At 34.8% G+C, this 23,886-nt stretch overlaps 1 protein-coding gene across 20 annotated transcripts in view, besides 1 other annotated feature; it reads right to left on the bottom strand.

The window, feature by feature from the left end:
• The window catches only part of SNTG1 (syntrophin gamma 1), an 886,897-nt gene that overhangs the window by 733,607 nt on the left and 129,404 nt on the right, over positions 1-23,886 (bottom strand). The gene's annotated exons all lie outside the window — the stretch shown is intronic.
• Positions 6,022-6,546: an enhancer, noted in NCBI's record as "NANOG hESC enhancer chr8:50969100-50969624 (GRCh37/hg19 assembly coordinates)". NCBI's record gives its function as "activates a minimal SCP1, AML or CMV promoter by ChIP-STARR-seq in naive H9 embryonic stem cells {active_cell/tissue: H9 hESC(naive)}" and the evidence as "EXISTENCE:reporter gene assay evidence [ECO:0000049][PMID:30033119]".

The raw sequence follows: 23,886 nt of genomic DNA, 5'->3' as shown, positions 1-23,886 counted from the left end.
AATCCTTTCCCTAAAGAAACAAAAATATGCACTTGTGTCATTATGGGTCTGAATATATCTTAAACATCTTGTAAATTTAACTAGTTTGATAGGAGGATTAAATCTAAGTCTGCAGTCATTAGCTCTTTAATATGTCTGTGGTCAATCAAGTCTCTGTATGTATTTAATCATCACTTTCCTTAATTTGACTAGATTCACAATGCAAGGATATAAAATTTTGGGTAAATATGCACATATTATGTATGGAAATAAAATACAAAATATATGAAATGCTTAAAATATTTGGAAAATTCACTCAGTCTTACAATATGTAAATGTATACATTAAACCATTGTTTGTGGGCAAATTATCTTTCAAAGTTCTCAAAATTCAATGCTGACCAAGAAAAAGTAAATTCTACTGAGATAAATCAGATTTTGCTGACTGTAAGAAACTTATTTCTATTCAAAGACACAAGTAGGTTGTGAGTAAAAAAAATAAAAAATATTTAGCTTGTGAACATTAATAAAATATGGCAGAATTGGCAGCATTAGTGATAGAAAAAATAGTTTCAAAACAAAGAAAATTGCTAGAAACAGAAAGCAACAGTGTGTAATGATGAAAGCATCAATTTAGCAGAAAGACATAACAATCTTAAATGTGTATTCACCAAACAACAGAACCCTAAAGAAGCAAAAACTGATAAGAGTTGAAAAAAAAATAGACAAATCCATAATTGGAGTTAGAAATTCCAACATCTGGTCTGGCGCCATGGCTCATGCTTGTAATCCCAGCACTTTGGGAGGCCGAGGCAGGCATATCACCTGAGGTCAGGAGTTAGAGATCAGCCTGGCCAACATGGCGAAACCTTGTCTCTATTTAAAAAAATACAAAAATTAGCCAGGAGTGGTGACATGCACCTATACTCCCAGCTACTCAGGAGGCTGAGGCAGGAGAATCGCTTGAACCCAGGAAGTGCAGGTTGCAATGAGGCGAGATAGCACCACTGTACTCCAGTCTGGGTAACAGAACGAGACCCTGTCTCAAAAACAAAAAAACACAAAAATTCCATCATCTTACTTTCAATATCTGATATAATTGATAAAGAGAAAATCAGCAAGGATATGGAAGATGTGAAGAACACAATCAACCAACCATATTTTACCCATTAGTAGCAGAATACATATTTTAAAAAAATAGACAAGAAGCATTCACCAAGAATGACCACATCCACAGCCGTGAAATAAATCTCAACAAATTTGAAAGAATTGAAATTCTCTGACAATAAGTGCATCAAGCTAGATATCAATAACAAGACAATAAGAAAATAACTGAAACCTTAAAAATTAAGCCATATACTGCAAAATAATGCAAGATGATAAAGGAAATCTAAAAATATATAAAACTCAATTAATATGAAGATATAGAATATTAAACATGTGGGATGCAGCTAAACAGTAATAAGACAGAAATGTATAACACTAAATGTTTACATTAGAAACAGAACAATCTCAAATCAATAATCTAAATTCCTACCTAAAAAGTAGTGGGGAGGGAAACCAAATCAAGTAGAAGAAATAAAACAGAAGAGGAGAAGAAATAAGTAAAAGTAAAAGCAGGAAAACAATTAAAAATGAAAGAAACTGGTTTTCTAAAAGAATCAATAAAATTAAACTGTTAGCACAAATGACAAAAAAATTAGAAGACACGAATGACCAATATTAGGAATAAAAGAGGCTGTATTAATACAAATCCTGAAACCATTAAAAAGGTAATTGTGGAACACTATAAACAACTTTATGTTCAGAAGTTCGACAGAAAACTACAAACTGTAAAAACTCAATCAAAAAGGATAATTAATCTAAATTATTCTATAATCATTAAATAGATTGAAGTCATAATTTAAAATCTTTCCCCCAGTAAAGTCTTTAGGCTTAAATGGTTTTGCTTTTGAATTCTACACAACATTTGAATAAGGCTTTTAACAATAATTTTACACAGCCCCTTTCATAAAATTAAAGAAGAGATCATTTTCCAACTCATTTTTAAGGCCAGTACCCAGGTAGCAACACCAAAGACAGAACAAAAACAAATAAACTATATTCAAATCTTCCTCTTGAGCTTAAACATTAAAAGTCTCAACAAAATATTAGCCAACTGAATCCAACAGTATATAAAGAGATATTTACACTGACTAAGTGGGATTTATTCCAGGGATTGCTGGTTTGACATGCAAAAATCGATCAATGTAATATACCATATCAACAGGCTACAGAAGAAAAATATGATCAGATAAACTGACATAAAAAAAGCATTAAACAAATCTCAAAACATATCCATAGGGGTAGGGTAGACTCCAGGCAAGCCGAAAATAATGGAAAAATACCTCAACTAGAGAAATAGCATTTTAAAAAGCTGTAGGTGTTTTAACAAGTGAAAGGCCTAATAGTGAGAAACCCTAAGATCAGAGGCAGGGAGAGATGTCTGCTGTCACCGCTTTGATTCAACATAGTGCAAGAAGTTCCAAGTTAAGCCTCTGGATAAGAAAAAAAAAGGGAAGAAATCCCCATAAATCACACCATCTAAAAAACCTCAGAATTAGTTAAGACCTAAATGTAAGAGGTAATGTAATAAAAATACTAGAAGAAAACATAGGTACAAGTGTTTGTGATTTGGAATAAAGCTTAGATGTGACTCAAGAAGCATAAGCAACAAATGACAAAAAAGCTGGACTTCATCAAAAGTTAAAAACTTTTGCTCTTCAAAACACACCATCAAGGGAGTGAAAGACAAGCCATAGAATGAGAAAAAAATGCAAATCTGATATGGTGCTTTATCTGATAAGGCACTTGTATCTAGAATATATAAAGAATAGTTAATTACTACTTGGTGATAAGCAGACAAACGACCCAATTTTTTAAAATGGTCAAATGATCTGAATAGATATGTCTCCAAAGAATCTATACAAATGACCAAAAAAGCACATACAAAGATGCTTCCCATCATTAGCCATCAGGAAAATGCCAATCAAAACCACCTTTACTGTAAGTTACCACTTCACACCCACTATGATATCTGTATCAAGACAGAAAATAGCAAGTGTTGGCAAACATGGTGAGAAACTGGAACACTCATCTACTGCAGGTAGGAATGTAAAATGAAATAATGCACCTGCTTTGAAAAACGGGCTGGTAGTTCTTCAAGTAGTTAAAGATAGAGTTACCATATGGTCCAGCAATTTTACTTCTAGGTATATACTTAAGAGAAATGACAACACTATGTCCACACAAAAAATTATACACAAATATTAAGAAAAGCATTATTCATGATACCCAAAAGGTATAGTTAATCCAATTGTCCATTCACTGATAAATGTATAAGTAAAATATGATATAGTCATATAGTGAAATCCTATTCAACAATTTGAAAATCTAGGTGATACACACTACGAAATGGATGAACCTGGGAAACATTATGCTAAGTGAAAGAAGTGAATCACAAAAGTCGCATATTGCATGATTCCATTTATATGAATTGTTTACAATAGGCACATCTATAGGAACAGAAAGTAGGTTAGTGGTATACCAAGGCTTGAGGAATTGGATAAATGGGAGGGTAATGTTTAGAGGTATAGTGTTTCTTTTAAGGGTAATGAAAATATTCTAATATTGATTATGTTGATGGGTGTACACCTCTGTAGATATACTAAAAGCCATTAAATTGTATGCTTCAAACGAGTGAGTTATAAGCTGTGTGAATTATAGCTCAATAAATCTGTTAAAACAACAACAAAATTGACCTAAGTTAAACATGCAACTGCTATGCAATCTGGCAATCTTAATGATGAACATTTATCTCAGTGAAATGAAAACTTATTTTATATAAAAAATTGAAATGCATGTTTATATCAGCTTTATTCATAAAAGCCAAAAAGTAGAAACAACCCAAATGTCCTTCAATGGAAGAATGGCTAAATAAACTGGCACATGGGTACTATGGAATACTACTCAGAAATAAAAAATGAATGAACTGTTGATATGAGCAACAACTTGGATGAATCTTGAAGGAATATTACTGAGTGAAAAAAGGCAATCCCAAATGCCTGCACACTGTATGATTGAATTTATACAACATTCTTGAAATGACAAAGTTTGGAAAATGGAGAACAATTTATTGCTTACTAGGGGTTAAGGAAGTCAGGTGGAGAGGGTAAGAGAGAGAGGTTATTGTTATTAAAGCACAACAGCAGGAATTCTTGTGGCGATGACTGCTTGTATCTTGATGCAGGTGATGTACTTAAGACATTTTACCTGTGATAAAATTGCATGGCACTAAACACACATACACACACACACACACACACACACACACAAATGTAAGTAAAATTGTGGATCTGAAAAACATCAGTTTATTTTATCAATGTCAGTATCCTCGTTGCTTTATTGTGCCATCATTTGAAAATGTAAACTATTGAGGGAAATTGTTTAAAGTGTACTCAGGATCATCGCATATAACTTCACAACTGCATGTCAATCCTCAAAGTTAAAACTTTAATTAAAAGATTCAAGATAGTTGTGGAAAGTTGGACATTGTTTGAAGGTATGTTTTCTAAATTCTGCTCTACCACTTTCAGCTGTGCCACTCCAAAAATCACTTGGCCTTTCTAAGTTTCAGCTTCCTTATAGGAAATAGAGACTTAGATAAGGTGTGTGGTTTCTAGCCTGAAGAAAATATTTACTATATGAGTGTATTTAGAAACCACTGATCGGGATTTCTACATTAAAAACAATCTCATCTGTCTGTTTCTGCTCTTATTAATCATATAAACATCTATATACATTTGAAAAAGCATAGTATTTGTTTTGAAAATATTATTTATCTATTCCATAGATCATGCTTGCAGCCTGTGTGGTACAAGTGCCTCTGGTGGTAACCCCCCAACCTCTCAGAGTCTGCAGTTGATAGTGTGCAAATTTTAAAAAGTGGCTTTAGAAATCTCAAAGATCTCTTTCAGACTTGGGATTTTGAGGTGGAGCTTTAGATTTTTCACCCATAGAAATTTACAAAAGTTTTTGACTTACCATCAACCACTGACTGTGTATGAGTCATATTTTCCAACATGTGTAAATGCTTTATCAAATTACATGCAAATAATATTCAATAAATTAAAAAGTGCACATAGACTATCACTGTCTGAAAAACATATCATTCAAAAACTGTGTGCATATTATTCCCTAAACTGAAATGATCATGGGTCCTGGGATCATTAACAACCCTAAAATAGGTTCATTCCTATAACGACATCCAAGTGCTGACATGAAAGGGCCTAACCAAGTCCTGTTGAGCAACTCAAACAGGGATGGACACAGTCCCAGGTTGCAGGTCTTGTAGACTCTAAAGACAGAGGAGGAAGAAGCTTCCGATGACACTTCATTCTGTGTACATAGTGCTATAGGCCTTACTATATATCTTATGAATTTAATCCTTAAAGCAGTCCTTAACCATGACATATCACCTCCATTTTACAGATTTTGACACCAGTGCTTGGGGAGATTATGTAATTTTCCCAGGTTAGTACCAGATCTTGGATTTGACTTTGACCTTGTTCTCTTTCATTTTACAGCCTACACACTTTCTGCTCCACTGTGGCATTTCAAATAAAGTTAGAAAGATGAAAAACAAAAACAAAAAAGTGTAAAGCTTCTAAAGAAGAAAAAAAAGAATGTACAGGCTCAGCCAAGGCATTGCTCCCGATAAGGTATAATCACCCTAACCCATTGTGTCTTCATGCATCTGGCTTCCACCTGTGAGCTTAAGTTACCTGTGCAGCTGCATTTCCACTCAGCATAGCCCTTTAACAAATATGACAAAAGATGAACGCATATGACAAACTGACTGTTTCTCTGGCTAGGAGAACACCACGTTCTGAGTAAAACAATTCTTCCCTTAAAAATGAAAGAAATGATAGAGAGAGGCTGTCCACGTAATTTATTTCTTAGTAACTATAACAATTTTAAATATTTCCTCGAAATTGTGTTTTGCTGAATCACTAAAGAAGTGCATGATGAAATATGACTCATTGTCTTATCTCTTGCAACAATATACTTAGGTTTGATATAATAAATTATAAGTTAAATCTCAAAACACAGGGTAGATGACATGGTTACACTCTATAAACCTAAACCTGGAGGCTCAGTGAGGATTTGCTGGCTTGCTTGTTTATTTTGAAATAAAACATGCCTGCCCTTGATCCTAACAAATGCAGCCCAGTGTCCTGCTGTTCCAGCAATCCCCAATTGCCTCCATGGGGCCTATTCACTCATCTATCTTGCTTGACATTGTTGGAAGCTGAAACTTGATAATTACAGCTAACACTGATGGTGCTTTGCACCAGACAATGTTCTAAAAGACTTTACATACAGTAAACCACACGGCACCACAGGAAGGAAATGTCGTCATCTTTCTTACTTTACTAATGATGTGACTGCTTGCATGAAGTGATTAAGAAACCTGCTTTGTGTGGTTTGTGAACAGATTGGAACCCAAGAAGTTGGACACACTCCAGGGCCTGAAAATTTAACCACTGGGCTATATATCTTGAAAGATGATTCCAAACTCCTGACTTCATCCTTCTCCACAGCTTTTCTGCTGTGTCATATGTCTGGCATGGATGTTTGCTTTAAAAAATAAAAGAAATGTTTCCATAGCAATCGGAGGAGGAAGATATTGTAGCCTTGAGTAAGGTTCAGGCTCTTCTCTTTCAGACAAAGTGCCTAAGGCCAATCCTAGGTCCAAAATCTCCTCTGGGCTCACTCAGTTTTGACCTTTATGGATGATCCTGGTATTTTATCTGTGGAACATAGTAGGACATATTGTCTTTCATTAATTTGCTCTAACTCAACTATGCAAGCTCAAGAACAGAGAATCCTTAGATTAAAGCAGGAGTACCGGGGAAACAAGAAGGTCATGAGGCTGATAGAAATTCATGTTTTATCTATTGTGGAGTGAAACAATATGAGGCTATTTTCAAATCCAATCTGACAATCCAAAATGCATGTACGGAAAGGTGATGATTCATTTTTCCCTCCGTTTGGAACTGCTTCCAAGCCCTTCAAAACAGAAAGGATAGAAAAATGGGGTCAAATAGAATTACCTGGCCTGGTACATTATCCATTGTTTCCAATAAAAAGACAGCAACATATATTTTCTTAAGAAAAACAGGGCCTATTAAGTCTATCAAACAATTTTTTAAAATTATAAAATACATTAATGTGTTTGTTTTTCCAACTCTTGCTTAGAAGTAATGCAAATGACTTGTTTTCTAATGAGAGAAAAAAAGAATGGGTTATGAGTTAGGACCAACTTCGAGGTACCTTTTCTCAGGACTGACTGGCGAGGGGAGAGGTACTGAGAAAAGATGGGAAAGACAAGCGCTGCTTCCTCAATTGGCATGCTTTACAGACAACATTTCTTTTTACCCACAAACAGTCCTCATGTGTTCTAATGCCTTTTACAAATGAGGAAATTGAGATTCAGGGATGTTAATAAACTCGCCCACACAGGAATAAGAAGACATCTGTTTTCCTCCCTGCCCCACGCATTCCAGCACCATGGAGCCTCATGAGAGGGACTTCTTCAATTTAAAGAAACAGGAGCATTAACATGTTTTTTAAAGTTCATTGAAAACCTGGTAAACACCTTTCAAATCATATTTCTTCATTCAAAAATATTTACTGATCACCGGATTTTTTTCAAAGCAAGATATAATAAAATGGGAGTGCTTCTTGCTTTCCCAGAGGTAGCAATGTATACAGGAGTAGAGAAAATGGAACATATAAATACTATAAAGTCTTAAGGGAGGTTAATACCAAGTATTCTCTCACCAACTTGGGGGTGATCAGGGAAAAAGTCCTAGAAGCAGTATCAGCTTAGTGAGTTCCGAACATTCAGCAGATGTTAGCTAGGTGGAGCCATTGAAGCAGTTGAGGTTAGTGTGGGAAAGAGTGAGTCTGAATTACAGGCAAGTCGGAATGATGAGACAATTGCAGTCCATTTGAAGAATTTAAGAAAGGGCAGGGTGGTTCAGCCATATGAGTGAGAGAAGTTTAAAAAAAATTGAAGGCCTAGTTCACTGGCTTATGCCTTGAGAGGCCAAGGTGGGATGTACCTTGAGAGGCCGAGGTCAGAGGAACACTTGAGCCCAGCAGTTTGAGACTAGCCTGAGCAACATAGCAAGACCCCATTTCTACAATAAATAACAATAAGAAATTAGCTGGGCATGGTGGTGCACACCTGGATTCTTAGTTTCTCTAGAGGCTGAGGTCAGAAAATGGCTTGGACCCAAGAGTTCAAGGTTGCGGTGAGCCATGATTGCACCACTGCACTCTAGCTTGGGGAACGGAGTAAAACCCCAACTCAAAAATAAATAAATAATAAGAACTGAGGCTGGAACAGTAGGCAAGGAGCAGGTTATTCGATCACCAGGTTAAAAATTGTATACCTTACCTTGAACAATGGAAGCCACTGAGAAATGCTCTCATGAGAAGGAACATTTTGGCAACAGTATGAAAAATGATATGGAACAAAGATGGAAAGAGTTTATGGTTTGTTCAGTAATATAAGTATGAAAAGATGATACCTTGGCCAAGGATAGCAGTAACAGATAAGGAGATAAGTAATGGTTAAGGAAATAAGTAGTGGGTAAGGAGATAATTGGAGAGAAGTAAAATCTCTTTAGAAGGTAAAGTACATAGAACTTGGTGATTGGTTGAATATAGAATATAAGTAAGTGAGAAGAAACATTTACAAACAATGCCCAGGTTTCTGGCAAGGGCAAGTGGGTAAATGATGACATCATTTGCTGAGAAGGGAGCTGCCCAGAAGGGAGCCCATTTGGGAAAGATGAGTCGTGTTGTCACAGTTGGAGTCCATTAAATAATAATCATCAACTCATCAGAGACCCAATGCTGAAATTGGAGATTTGGGAATATTCACATAAGGGTGATAGTAACTTTGTCTTCTTTATTGAGAATCAATATTATAGTAAGTAAGAGGATCAAAGCCAGAATTTAAATGCCACTTCTTACAGGCAGGAATATGATGCATAAATTTTTCTGGATTGCTTGAGATGCCTGACACAGTCCCTGCTAGTAATGAGAAGTATCTTGTTCTCCACCTGATGGGAGCTCAATCAATAGTTTTGGTGTTTCAAAAATTGCTTGAAAAAGGAAATATGGATTTAGAATATGAGAGAAGTCATCAGAAAAATGAAGTTTAGCTCACAATGTGTATGTGTTGTGGTGGGGTTTGTGTTGTAGATAAATAAATGGCTGGAATTAATTTCAAGAGGTGACAGAGGAGTCATTGAACAAGTTCATGTGTTACTAATTTGGAAGTTTTGGCAGCTTAAACAATCCAGGATTCTATCCAGGATACTATCCTGGATTATACACACACACACACACACACACACACACACACACAATTATATATATTTATATATATGCATATTTATAATCAAAATATAATTCATTCATTGTAAACCATGAAGTTCACTTTTGAAGTCTATAATTCAGTGACGTTTATTATATTCCAGGATAGCAAAATCATCACTACTGTCTACTTTTAAAATATTTTACTTACACAAAGAAAAATATCATTCCCTAATCATTCCTCTCCCTAATCCCTGGAAACCACCAGTCTATTTATATTTCTATGGGTTAGCTTATTCTGGACATTACATATAAATGAAATCATACAATATGTGATCTTTTTTACTTATTTCACTTAGCTTAATGTTTTCATGTTTTCAATGAGGTTTCACCATGTTATAGCATGTATCTGCATTTCCTTCTTTTTATTGACAAAGACTATTCCCTTGTAAAAGCATTCCACATTTTGTTCATCCATTCATCAGTTAATGGTCATTTGGATCATTTCCACTTTGTAACTATGGTGCGTAATTCCACTATGACCCTTTTTGTAAAAGCATTTCTGTTAATGTGTGTTCATTTATCTTGGGTGAATATGGGACGTGGTTTCATTTATCATGGCAGTGGAGTTACTGGGTCACATGAGAACTCTAGGCTAAATATTTTAAGGTATTAGCAAAGGTTTTGTAAGGCAGCTGTGCCATTTCAGATGCCCCAGCAATATAAGAGTGTTCCAATTCCTCTGCATCTGGGCCAGCATTTATTACTGTCTGTTTTCTGGCAATGGCCATCCTAGTGGACATAAAGTGATAGCTCAATGTGGTTTTGATTTTAATTTCAATGATGATTAATGATATTAAGCATACTTTCATTTGCATATGGTGCATATGTGTTTCTTCTTTTGGAGAAATATCTCTTTAATTCCTTAAATATTTAAATTTGGGTTGTCTTTTTACTGTCAGTTAAAAGAAATGTTTATGTTTTCCGGATACTAGGCCCTTATTAGAAATGTAATTGACAAATAGTTTATCTAATTTTGTAAATTGATCTATTAATAGTGTCCACTGGGGTAAAAACTCTTTTTTAATTTTAATGAAATCCAACTTATCTACTTTTAAATTTTTTCCTTGTGATTTTGTTGGCATAGCCAAGAAACAATTGCCTAACTTTAGGGCACAAGAATTTATTCTTACATTTTCCTATAAGAGTGTTGTAATTTTAGCTCTTCCATTTAAGTGCATAATGCATTTTAAGTTAATTATTATATGGTGTAAATTAGGCATCCAACTTAATTCTTTTTGCATGTGGATATCCAGAAGTCCTTGTGCCGTTGGATAAAAATACTATTACTTAATGAATTGTCTTGGCCACATTGATAAAATGTTGTAACAATGAATTTTAGTGTAAAACTGTATTTCTAAACTCCCAAGTTTACTCTATTAATTTACATGTGTATCTTTATATTACATTACAGTAATCAGATTATATTATATTATCTGATTACTCTATCCTTTTAGTCAGTTTTGAAATCAGGAAATATAGTATGAATCCTCCAACTTTGTTCTATCTTTTTGGAATTGTTTCAATTATTCTAGGTCTCTTGCATATGAATTTTATCATCTGATTCTCAATTTCTGCAAAAAAGCTGAAATTTTGATAAGGAAAGCATTGTTTCTTTAGGTCAGTTTTGGAGGTATAAACATCTTAACAATATTAAAATCCATCACCATGAAATATTTTTAAAAATTTAGATCATCTTTAATTTTGTTCAAAAGTATCTTGTGGTTCCCAGAATACAAATTGTTATGGTTTGGATTATGTCTGCCCCCAAAAAAGTAGGTTGAAGTCCTAATCTCTAGTACTTCTGAATGTGAACATATTTAAAGGTAGGGTCACTTCCTAGTCCAATATGACTGGTGTTTCTATAGGAAGACAGCCATGTGAAGACAGAGGCACACAAGAATACTGGGTGGCAGAACGGCAGAGGATGGAGTTACGTAGCTATAAGCCGAGGAATGCTGAAGATTGCTGGGAAACCACTGACAGCTAGGAAGAGGTAAGGAAGGATCTTTGTATGTGTTTCAGAGCATGGCTCTCTTGACAACTTCATTTCAGACTTCAAACTTACACAACTGTGAGACAATAAATTTTGGTTATTTTAAGCCACCTCATTTGTGGCACTTTAATATGGCAGCCCTAGGAAACAATGCATACATGTTTGCACTTTTTCATTAAATTTATTCATAAGCATTTTATTATTTTTATGCTGCTGTCAATGGAACAGTTCTCAATTTTATTTGGATTGCATATTGCTAGTGTACAAAATACAATTTATATTTAAACTTCGATCTTATATGCTGTTATCTTGCTACGTTTTTAATTTAAATGTTTTCTTCTTGTTTGTTTGTGTGTGTGTGTGTGTGTGTGTGTGTGTGTCAAGATTTTCTATCTAAAGATAATGTCCTCTGGTGTAATTTTATTTTTTACTTTCCAAAATAAGTATGTTTTATTTCTTTTTCTTGCCGTACTAACCTGGCTAGACCTTCTATTACAATGTTTAATATAAGTGGCAAGAGCACATATCCTTGTCTTGTTCCCAGTCTTAGGGGGAAAGTATTCAATCTTTCACCAATAAGGATGAATTAGATGTGGATTTTTCATAGATGCCTTTTATCAAGTTGAAGAATTTCTCTTCTACTTTTAGTTTGTTGGGTATTTTTATCATGAAAGGGGTTGGATTTCATCAGCTATAATTTATGCTTATATTAAGGTTTATTTTTTCTATTAATATGGAAAATTAAATTAATTTATTTTCCAATATTACACTCCTGGATAAATACAATTTACAATACTGGGATAAATAAGTTTCTGGATTCCTTGTATTACTTTGAAGATTTGTGTGTTTACATTGATATGGGATGTTGACCTGTAGTTTTCTTTTCATGTGATATATTTGCCTGGTTTTTATAGCAAGGTAATATTGTCCTCATAGAATGAGTTTTTATGTGCTCCCTCCTCTTGTATTTTCAAAGATTTTGTGAAGAATTTGTATTATTTCTTCAATAAGCTGTTGGTTGTATTTATCAATTAAGCATCTGTACTTAGGATTTTATTTGGGAAGTTTTTACTTATAATTCAATCTGTTTACTCCTTGAATTTGGGGAAGAATACACAAGTAAACACATCTAGCCTGGTGCTTTTTGTTTTGGAAGGTTATTAATTATTGATTAAATTTCATTAATAGATATAGAACCTATTCAGGTTCTCTGTTTCTGCTTGTATGAGTTTTGGCAGATCATGTCTTTCAAGAAGATGGTCCATTTTGTCTAGGTTATCAAATTTGTAAGCACAGGCTTGTTCATAATATTCCCTTACTACTCTATGAATGTCCATGAGATCAATAATGATGGCCTCTCTTTCATTTCTGATATTAATAATTTGTGTCTTCTCTCTTTTTTACATAATTAACTCGCTAAGGGTGTTTTGATTTTATTGATTTTTTTTCAAAGAGCCAGCCTTTGCTTTCACTGATTCTGTTGATTTCCTGTATTTAATTTTATTGATTTCTGCTTTAACTTTATTATTTTTTCTTCTGTTTATTTGGGATTTTCTTTACTCTTATTTTTCTCGTTTCCTAAGGTGAAAGATTAGATTGTTGATTTCAATATTTATTTTATAATATATACATTCTGTGCTATAAATTTTCCTCTAAACATTGCTTTTGCTGAATTCCACGAATTTTGACATGTATTATAGTATTCTCATTTTCATTTCATTCAAAATATTTTTAAATTTCTCCTGAGACTTCTCCTTTGATCCATGTGTTATTGAAAAGTTGATTAACCTGTAAGCATTTTAGAGTTTTCCAGCTATCTTTCTATTATTGATTTCTATTTTAATCCCACTATGGTCTAAAATTATACTTTGTATGTTTCTATTATTTTAAATTTGTTAAGATGTACTTTATGGCCCCGAATGTAGTCTATTGTGGATTCTGCCATTGTTGGATAAAGTATTCTATATGTGCCAACTAGATTTAGTTGATTGAGGTGCTGCTTAGTTCCACTATGCACTCATTTTCTACCTGCTGGATCTATCTGTTTCTGATGGAGGGGAGATGAGTGCTCAAATATAATGGTTAATTCATCCAGTTATCCTAACAATTCTGTCAGCTTTTCCTCTCACAAATAAAGATCGTCTGTTTTTAAGTGCAAACATGTTAATGACTATTATGACTTCTGATGAATCAATCCATGCATAAATATAATAATGACCTCCTTTATATATAATGACCTATTTGATATAATTTAGCTACTTTAGCTTTCTTTTGGTTAGTGTTAACATGGCATATATTTCTCTATATATTTACAAGTTGTCTATCTGTTTCTTTATATTTAAGGTAAGTTTCTTGTAGATAATGCAGTTGGATCTTGTTTCCTTGCGCATTCTGTTAGCCTGTCTTTTAAATGACGTATTTAGAACATTTTAAATTAAAGTGATTATTGACATAGTTGACTTAATGTATAGCGTATTTGCTAATCTTTACAATTCATGGCTCTTTTCCATTTTTCTTTTTTTTTGTTTTCACTCTATCCTGCCTTCTTTAGCTTTAATTGAGCATTTTATATAATTTTATTTTTAATTCTCTCAGCAACCAATTATAGTTTTTTTAACTTTTTTGAGTGGTTTAGAATATTGATGCACTATTTATTAATATAACAGAGTTCTTGCCTGCATCAATCGTAAATGACATACTGTTAAAATTAGGTAGCAAATTTCAATGTAAAGAATTACAAAATTAAAAACCAAACCCCAGTCCTATTAGGCAAAACTTACTTGGCAACTGCCATTATTCACATCAATGCTAAACTAATTTCAGGTCAGAGGTAAAATATTAAGAAATCAGCCAAAATATTAATGATAAGGTCAAACACATAAAAAATAGGTTTATGATATTGCCATAATTTACTAATTAGTATTAAAAAATATGAGCGACATTCTACAAAACAGAACTAATAAATTAAGTGAAAAAACTAGAGTTTTCTCACCTTCATTTAATATTTGTTTTGTTCATTAGGAGCTGACACCTTTTCTATGTTTTGATAAATATAGTGCTGAAAATGAAAGAATGTAATTAAAAATCAAAGTATTTAAGTTAATGACTATTGTAAAAGATGGAAAGAAAACAAAGAGATAATACTAAAGTGAAGGAGCACATTTGGAGGTGCAGGTAATGCTGCACATGAGGATCATGCATTCACCCCACACTCTGCCATTTTTCAGGGCTAGCAGCAGTAAATGTAAAGACAAGTTGTCAGATTTCTTATTTCATATATACAACTATTTTACTGTGAATGCTGGGCATGACTTTATTTTTTTCTTTCTCTTTTTTTCTCTTGGTTTATCTTCAAGAATTCAAATTTCCCTCAATCCCAATATTTTTAAAACCCACTTTAACCCCTTATTTTTGAGGAGGATAAACTAAAATTCAGAAGATTTAATAAATTTGCCTGATTGTTTAAAGGAAGTTATTTAATCTGATAAATAAATTTAAATTACTTTATTTTTTTTCATGGATGCCAACACAAAAAATGTATTTACAATGTATTACACCTGCAAGGATGATTTATTAATTGTTTTATTTGTGCCAGGTTCTCAAATAAGTCCATTCCATATGCCCTCTCATTTAATACTCTGAAAAATACCTTGAAATTAGTATGATTATCGAATTTTAAAGCAGAAAAAACTTAAAATTTTGATCCTTAAGTCTTAACCACTAACTCAGGATTCACCAAATTTGCATAATTTTCAAAAATCATCTTAGCAACTTGGTAAAATACAGATTCTTTGGCGCATCTTCATCTAGAATCTCTAAGGCATGGAGAATATTTAACTTAGCATGTGACACCCCCAGGTTGTTATGACAGTCAAGTTTGAGAAACACAGGATAAGCTTTCCCTTCACCTTACTTTGCAGAAGGTGACTGGGAGGACATTTTATGTTTATCCTATTACATATACTTACTTAATGACAGTTATTTTGTTTAAGTCTTACAACTAGAAAGTTTTCTAAAATGGCAACTATTTCCCCCATCAATTTGTTCCATGAAACATTCTGGTCATGAATGTATTCTGTTCATGTAATTAAAATAGCTTTTTATGATTACCTAGTATCTCTTAATTTTGAGTCCTTCCTTGGATCTAACTTTTATCTCTCACATTTTACATAGAGCCTTCTTTTATATGAAAAAATATAAGTTTATAAATGTTAAGTAGGTCTGCATATAGGTAAATGATAATATTAATGATTGATTGTATGTTGAACTAAAAATTTTTTTTTTTGGCAGCATCTCTGTGTCACCAAGGCTAGAGCATGGTGGCACCATCATGGCTCACTGCAGCATTGACTGCCTGGGCTCAAGCATTCCTTTCACCTCAGCCTCCCAAGCAGCTGAGACCACAGGCATGCACCACCATACCTGGCTAACATTTGTGTTTTTTGTAGACATGGGGTTTTACCATGTTGTCCAGGTTGGTCTCCTGAGCTCAAGTGATCTGCCCTACTCAGCCTCCCAAAGTGCTGGAATTTAAAAATAAATTTCTTTTAGACCTTCACCGTATATTCTAAGAAAATTTAATACTCCTAAAAATGAAAAGGAGAGTAAGAATTTTGGAATGTAGAAAACTCAAAGAAACTAACTTAATAACATAAATGACATTTTAAATATCTTTGGAACAGTAAAGTGTAACTGGAACAAAACTAATATTTGTAAATAATGCAAAAACTTATTTGTATAAAGGCTAATAATTTGGTTATGAAGAAACATCAACTTCTAGTAGGTAAAAGTAAAGGAGGCTAAGACATAACATATCAAAAAATCAGATACCTGGGAAAATTTGACAAGATGCAAAAATTGAACAGTCAGCATTTGTGGCAGAGGAAAATCACTTCTTTTGTTTAAATAAACAAACACATACAAATAACAGAGAAATGCTGGGATTCTCTTTGTTTTTTCTATGAACTCCTTTGTTTTAGGTTCATTTAATTGAATTCAGGTTAATGAATGATTACTCTTGGCCCAAGTCTTGGTAATATAAATTCACGCTAGAATGGGGTGGTTATGATTCTTGATTTCAGAATATTTAAAAAAGAGTAGAATTAACTTACCATTTGATGAATGATAGTGAGTTAAACATTTAAATATTTAAAATAATATGTTATCTTTCTTGATAACAGCCCTTTACAAATTATGAGCTTGCAACCATGAGGTAATTTTCAGAAAGAATACCAAGTAGATATGCAGAAATGGGAGTGTGGGGATGAGAATGAGAAAATAGATCAAAGAGCACCAATTACAACAACAGAATCAAGGTTTTGAGAGTATGCTAGCTCTTGGAAACAATCTAGTTTGGAGATCAGAAAACTCCAGTCCTGGCACCAAATCTAGTCTGTCACCTATTACTTATGGCCTGTAGCTAAGAATGACCTTTACATATTTAAAGGTTGAAAAATGTCGAAAGAAGGATATTATTTAATGACAAGTTGAAATGTGAAACTCAAATTTCAGTGCCCATAAATACAATTTTATTAGATCACAAGCACAAGATAATTTGTTTATGTATTGTCTAAGACTGCTTCCTCACTAAAATCATGGAGTTGAGTATTTGCTACACACACCCTGTGGCTCTTCAAAGCCTGAACTCTACTCTTTGGCCATTTAAAGAAAAATTTGCTAACCCCTGATCTCGTTGAGCTTCTTCACACAGCTAGGAAGTTCTTAGAGCTTTGGTGGCCAGTACAACTGAACAATGTCTTACAAATTGTTCTCAACAGAACTAAAATCAGAACCCAGATGGGCTGAATACACTACATCTTTGTGTCTCTTTTATCCTAACAGAATCACATATCCATAGGATCTGGTGCTAGAAGAGTTTGAAAGTTAGAAAATTACCCACTATTTGTCTTACTATATGTAATCATTTTTGTGGGGTATGTTGGTTTACTATTTTGATTACAACAACACATATTTTTGATAGTTTTTATTATCTCTGATTTAGAAATGAAGAAACTGAGGACCCCCTCCCCAAAAGAAGTAAATCCTAAGTAATAAAGTTTAGATGTTGTCCCCCCTAAATCTTATGTTGAATTGTAATCTCCAATGTTGGAGATGCGGTCTGGTGGGAGGTGATTGGATCATGGGGGTGAAATTGTCATTAATGGCTTAGCTGTCCTCACAATAATGTCTAAGTCTTCATGAGATTGGTTGTTTAAAAATGTGTTGCATCTTTCCTTCTGGCTCTTGCTGCTACTCTGAGCACGTGATGTGCCTGCTCATGCTCTACTTTCTGCCATGATTGTAAGTTTCCTGAGGCTCTCACTAGAAGCAGATGCTGGAGCCATGCTTGTACAACCTGCAGAAAAAATGAGCCAATTAAACCTCCTTTCTTTATATATATTACCCAGCCACAAGTATTTCTTTATAGTAAGGCAAAGAACAGCCTAATACACCAAGCGAGTTAAGGGACTGGGCTCGGATGTCAACCCACGTTTTCTGACTTCCAGCACATGTGCTCTGGCCCTGCACCCTACTGTCTCCTAACACTGGGAGCTGTTTCTCACCACTGCCATAGGAAAAGGCTCTACATCATGTAGACTTGCTCTCTCAGTCTGTCTCAATCTCTTTATCTATCTAGCTATCATCTATCTATCTAAACCAACAGAGTCCTTCCTATATTTTAGACACTATTTTAAATGGTTCGCAAATATCATCTATTTTAATTCACTGAACAAATTGAAAATTTCCTTATAACCATAAAATCATCTCTTAAGTCCTTATATCTGGAAGTTCTTGAAGAATCAATACATTTTTCTGTCCTTGTGAGATCAAAAGTTTTCAATGGCAAATATGATGAAACAATGTGGTAATTCTGTTACAAATTTTATATACAGCAGTTTATAGATGTTATTTTATGAGAAAACAAGAAGAAATTCCAAGGCTATAGCTTTAGACCTTTATATGAACCTATAGTTCTCTTGCAGAGTTTATTCCAGATTATTTTACAGAGCGATTAAGAAGTCCAGGTTCTAGGCTCCATGCCACACCTCCTGAAGTAAGGACACAAAATATCATGTTCAAAGTAATGGTGACCCTCATATGCCCCAGTAGAGAATGATCAAATGAAAAGCCATTTTTAAGCTAATTTCACCATTAGAAGACATTAATATCACAACTATGTTATTTTAATGTGCTTTTGAAATCCGGTTTAATTTTGGCCCAAAAGAAAGAAATTTAAAAGACACTCAGGATTCTTACAAGCAGGTCTTGTGATTCCCTCTAAAATGTAAATTTCTCTCCTGCTCTTAGGTAAAAAGGTTGGTCGTCCCCTTACTTATCTGATAATTCTTGGTTAAAAAATGTGATGGCAACTTAGAAACACATTCTTAACTTACTGGTAAAATATGTCTGACTTATGTTACATTCAAAGCATTTAACTTGCTTAAAATTGTATCTTCTTTCTTCCATAACTAGGGACTTCTGTGAGTTTAACCCCTGGCGAAAAAGAGGGGGATATGGCCCTTCTCTTCTTTGCAACTTGTAGTTTTTCAGAAATTTTTTTTAGTATTACATAAAGGTGACTATTCAGAGAGATGTCAGAATGATAATAAAGTTTTATGTGATTAGTGTTATCATAGATGATTTATTTTTCCCTAAACCAGAGAGATGTTTAAAGCTTCTTGATTTTCTGTTGGTTCTTAAATGTCCTCACTAAGGACATCTCCCTAGGCTGCTATGACATGCGTAATGCATTTTCCTCAGGTGGCAGTTTCCCACCTCAGCCTACATTGCTGTTTTTGGTGTGTGTGTGTATGTGTGTGCACGCACAAGAGTGCTTATCTCCCTATGTTGTAATCTCACTGTTCCACAAGCAACACTTTCTGACAAATTAGGAATACTGTTGAATACCAAAGCATCTTTAATTTTACTGTTAAAGCTGGAGCCACCCACTCTCTCAACTTCTGGATGGCCTGGGTGCGAGTCAAACATCTGTCCACTGGGTCCCTTAATTGCAGGAACGCATAGTCAGCTTCAAGAGTGTGAGGCCAGGAGTGTGAAGGAACTCACAGTTTACTCCTGCAACTCTGTGCAAAGACATCCCCTTCACAAATTATTTTATAAAGCAGACTGCTTTCATAAATTCAATGTGAATAAGGAATGAAAGGTCATGTAAATGGTTTCCAGTTACTTCTTTTTAAAATTTTCATCTTGTTCCTGCTGGTATGCCATATATAGCATACATTTGTGCCTTAGTCAAAAAATCCTAATTTAATTTCCTGCTATGCAAGAAATAATTCCAGAAGCATTTGGGTTCTCTGTATGTGGACATCATCTATCAAAATCATTTGCTTTACTTATAAAAAGTCATATTCCTGGCTTCAATTTAGACTTGCTAATATAGACTCGCTAATATAGATTCTCTACTGATAAAGAAAATTTGTATTTTTACATGTTCTCCCTAAATGATTATTTTGCATCTTAAAGTTTGAGAAAGTGCATAAAATTGTGTTATCTTCATTCTTTCAGAGTAGAAGGAAAATAACAGAGGGAAGGGAAGAAAGGAAGGGAAATAAATAAAACTAGTAATCATAAATTTAAATACACATAATTTTAAAAAATCATAACTTTTAGTTTTTTATTACTCAATGGCTCATGCCTGTGTGGACACAAGCCAAAATCTTTACATTGCTTTAATTGCTAAATAGACAATTATTGGTAAAATTGGCAACGAGCCATAGCTCATGGCTATAATCCCACTGCTTTGAGAGGCTAAGGTGGGAGGATCACTAGAATCCAATAATTTAGATTAGCCTGGGCAACACTGGAATCCAAGAATTTAGACTAGTCTGGGGAACAATGCAAGACCTTACCTCTACCAAAAAAAAAAAAAAGTCAATTAGCCAGGCATGTCAGCATGTGCCTGTAGTCCCAGCTACTTGAGAGGCTGGGCTAGGAGGATCACTTGAGCCCAGGAGTTTGAGGCTGCAAAGAGCTATGATCACACCACTGCACTTCATCAATGGGTTCCACCAGGTTTTTTTCTTTATCTTTTTCTTTTTTAAAGACCGTCTCTGTCTGTCACCCTGGCTGGAAAGCAATGATGCTATCATGGTTCACTGCAACCTCAAATTCCTAGGCCAAAGCTTTCCTCCTACCTCAGTCTCAACTGTAGCTGAGACTACAGGAGCTCCCAGCCCGCGGAAGTTTTCAGTTCATGAGAATTATTTTAAGATTTGCATTTTTAAAAGTTTCTTCAACCTCCTCTGTGAAGAATGGATTAGGGGTAGGACCTACAACACATCAGCAGCACCCTGGGGGTGGGCTGTGGGGATGGGAATTGGTGGAGGGGACTAGATAGATTGCTGTAGGAATGAAGAGATGGGAACAGATCCCAGAGAGAGATGGTGGTAAAATTATATTTAATTGTTGCTTATTGAAAGCAAAGAAAATCAAAGATTGAGTAAATTGTCTCATGTATAAAGGCTGATGACCAAAAAAATGAGAAGAAAAGGTTAGAAATACAAACAGTCCCCAATATACCACGGTTTCACTCACAGTTTTTTAGCTTTATAATTGGTTTATCAGGGTGTTGAATGCATTTTCAAATTATGATGGTTTTATAAGGATGTAACCCCATTGTAAGTTGAGGAACATCTATATAAGACAAGATAGAGATATTCAAAAGTGTGGAGTATGAAAGGATGGGATCCAGGTGCAGCTGTGAATTTTGTAGCCACCTCTGCTAGGAGCAAAGGCCATGTCTACAGGAAAGAACAGTAACCAATATTTTTCCTTTGCTCTTGAACAAACTCATTAAGAGGAAAGATCAATTCATAGAGTCTAGATTAGAATGATTATGAAATACCACATCTAGAAACTAGTTCCACAACAGAGAGGCATGAATCAAAAGGGGATGTTGTCGCTTTTCAACTGGGACACAAATATGGTTCCACAGTCCCTTAACAGATTTCCTGCAGCTGTGATGCCTGAATAAAAGAAGGTATAAATTGTGAAAGTTGTACAAACTGGATAAAAGAGGATGATTTAGAAGAAAAAAAATATTTACAATCGTAAGTTCTACTGAGCTCAATTCCGTTTAATCCCAAGACTTATTTTTACATTGAATACAATGCTTAGTGTTGTCAATAATCTCTCCAGCTTCACAGTGATTTACACTGTCATTAATGTTGCAACATTAAATGTTTAGAGTCTTTATTAGTGTTATTTTAGTTAATTTATTAAATATGTTTTATTATGAAAAATTTCAAAAACTCATCAACTGGGAGAGAATGGTGTAGTGACTCTGCCTGTACCCACCATTCATCTCCAACAGCAATTGACATTTGAACATGTCTTCTGCTTTTGTTTGTTGAATTTCAAAGCGACTCAATAATACTATTTTATTTTAACTACAAATGCTCCTTGGCCAGGTGTGGTGGCTCACGCCTGTAATCCCAGCACTTTGGGAGGCCGAGGCAGATGGATCATCTGAGGTCGGGAGCTCGAGACCAGACTGGGCAACATGGAGAAACCCTGTCTCTACTAAAAATACAAAATTAGCCGGGCATGGTGGAACATGCCTGTAATCCCAGTTACTTGGGAGGCTGAGGCAGGAGAATCACTTGAACCTGGGAGGCGGGGGTTGCAGTAAGCCAAGATCATGCCATTACACTCCAGCCTGGGTAACAAGAGCAAAACTCCGTCTCAAAAAATAATAATAATAATTAATTTAAAAAATGCCCCTTTGTGCTTCTCTAGCAGATAAGGGCACTTTTAAACAACAAAAATGTCATGAAAATCCCTAATGAAATTAATAACTATTATTTAATACCATCTAATACCCAAGTCATTTTTAAATTTCTCCTAAAATTCTCATAGATTTCTCATCAATGTATTTTTTAAACCCAGGTCTAAATGAGGTTCACATAACGTCTTTCTTTGCTTTGGTTTTAAATGTCTTACATTTATAAGCATCTCCTTCCCTTTGTCTTTCTTGCCATTTATTAGTTGAAGAAATAGGATTGCTTGTCCTACAGAATATCTTACTTGTGAATTTACCTGCAATACTTAATAATCCCTGCATTGGCTTAATCATGTCACTCTTCTCCAATAAGTTTTTAATGGTGTAGTTTGCACACATTCCAAGTGGCCACTAACAAATTAAGATATACAGTTTAAGTAACTTACAATGACTAGAAATGCTTAAAAAGAAAGATAACAAATGCCTCAAAATGAGATAGAAAAAATAAGCACGCTATAAGTTTTATAACAAAAAGTCTGTGTCTCATTTATTTCTAAATTTTTTTTACATATATAATTTTTATAAAAAGATATGGAGTTAAATGCAGTAGGTTTTAGTGTGTGGTGCAAATATTTCTACCTGAAGCAAAAAGTGAGGTGTTTTCTTAATCATCAGGCAAGGCAGAGACATCAGTGCCAACAACCAGCGACCGCCAGAGCAGCACAGGTGGGCTTCAGGTGCTTAGTCAGTGGTGTTCTAAACTCCTGCTCTTAGCTTGCCTGTCCACTTCTCTGTTTTATAAATTGCACAAGTCTTGGATTCAACATGACTCATCTTAGTTCTCATTTCATCAACTCTGTGGCGTCCAAGAGTCAGTGTGTGCACTGCCCCTTGGACACCTTCCTCGAAGGCACACAGAGAGCTCGACATCATGTGCACTAGGGCTGTGGTCCGTGCAGCTTCCGTAGCAGGCAAAGGCCTCCTTCACCCTCCACACCCCGGGCAGTCAATCATTAGCAAGTTCAGTGTCTTCTGAATCATGACTTACGGGTCTGAGGTTTAAGTTTCTGCCTCCCAAATTACTAGAAAAAATATAACACCGATTTGACCAATTAGAAATAAAACGAAAGCATACAAACTAGTAAAATTCACATCCATTAAAGCACTCAGAGGAATCTAATAATGGCAAGATTTGATATGGGAAATAGGGAATATACTCTATAGGCAAAAAAAATGTAAATCATTAATTAGAGAAATGTATAGGGAAAGATTAAAGGAAGATAATATGGTGATTCTGATTAAAATAAAATGGATCAGTTGATGCATCCCAATGAGAGGCCTCGCCTGTGCTGATACCCATTTTAGATAAAGACATGGCCTAGGAATTAACTTGAGTTTTTTTTTTTTTTTTTTTTTTTTTTTTTGAGACGGAGTCTTGCTCTGTCACCCAGGCTGGAGTGCCGTGGCGCGATCTCGGCTCACTGCAAGCTCCGCCTCCCAGGTTCATGCCATTCTCCTGCCTCAGCCTCCTGAGTAGCTGGGACTACAGGCGCCCGCCACCATGCCCCGCTACTTTTTTGCATTTTTAGTAGACACAGTATTTCACCGTGTTAGCCAGGATGGTCTCGATCTCCTGACCTTGTGATCTGCCCTCCTCGGCCTCCTAAAGTGCTGGGATT

The sequence above is a fragment of the Homo sapiens genome, chromosome 8, assembly GCF_000001405.40.
Source record: "Homo sapiens chromosome 8, GRCh38.p14 Primary Assembly".
Taxonomy (NCBI): domain Eukaryota; kingdom Metazoa; phylum Chordata; class Mammalia; order Primates; family Hominidae; genus Homo; species Homo sapiens.
This window is presented reverse-complemented; position numbering and strand designations above follow the sequence as displayed.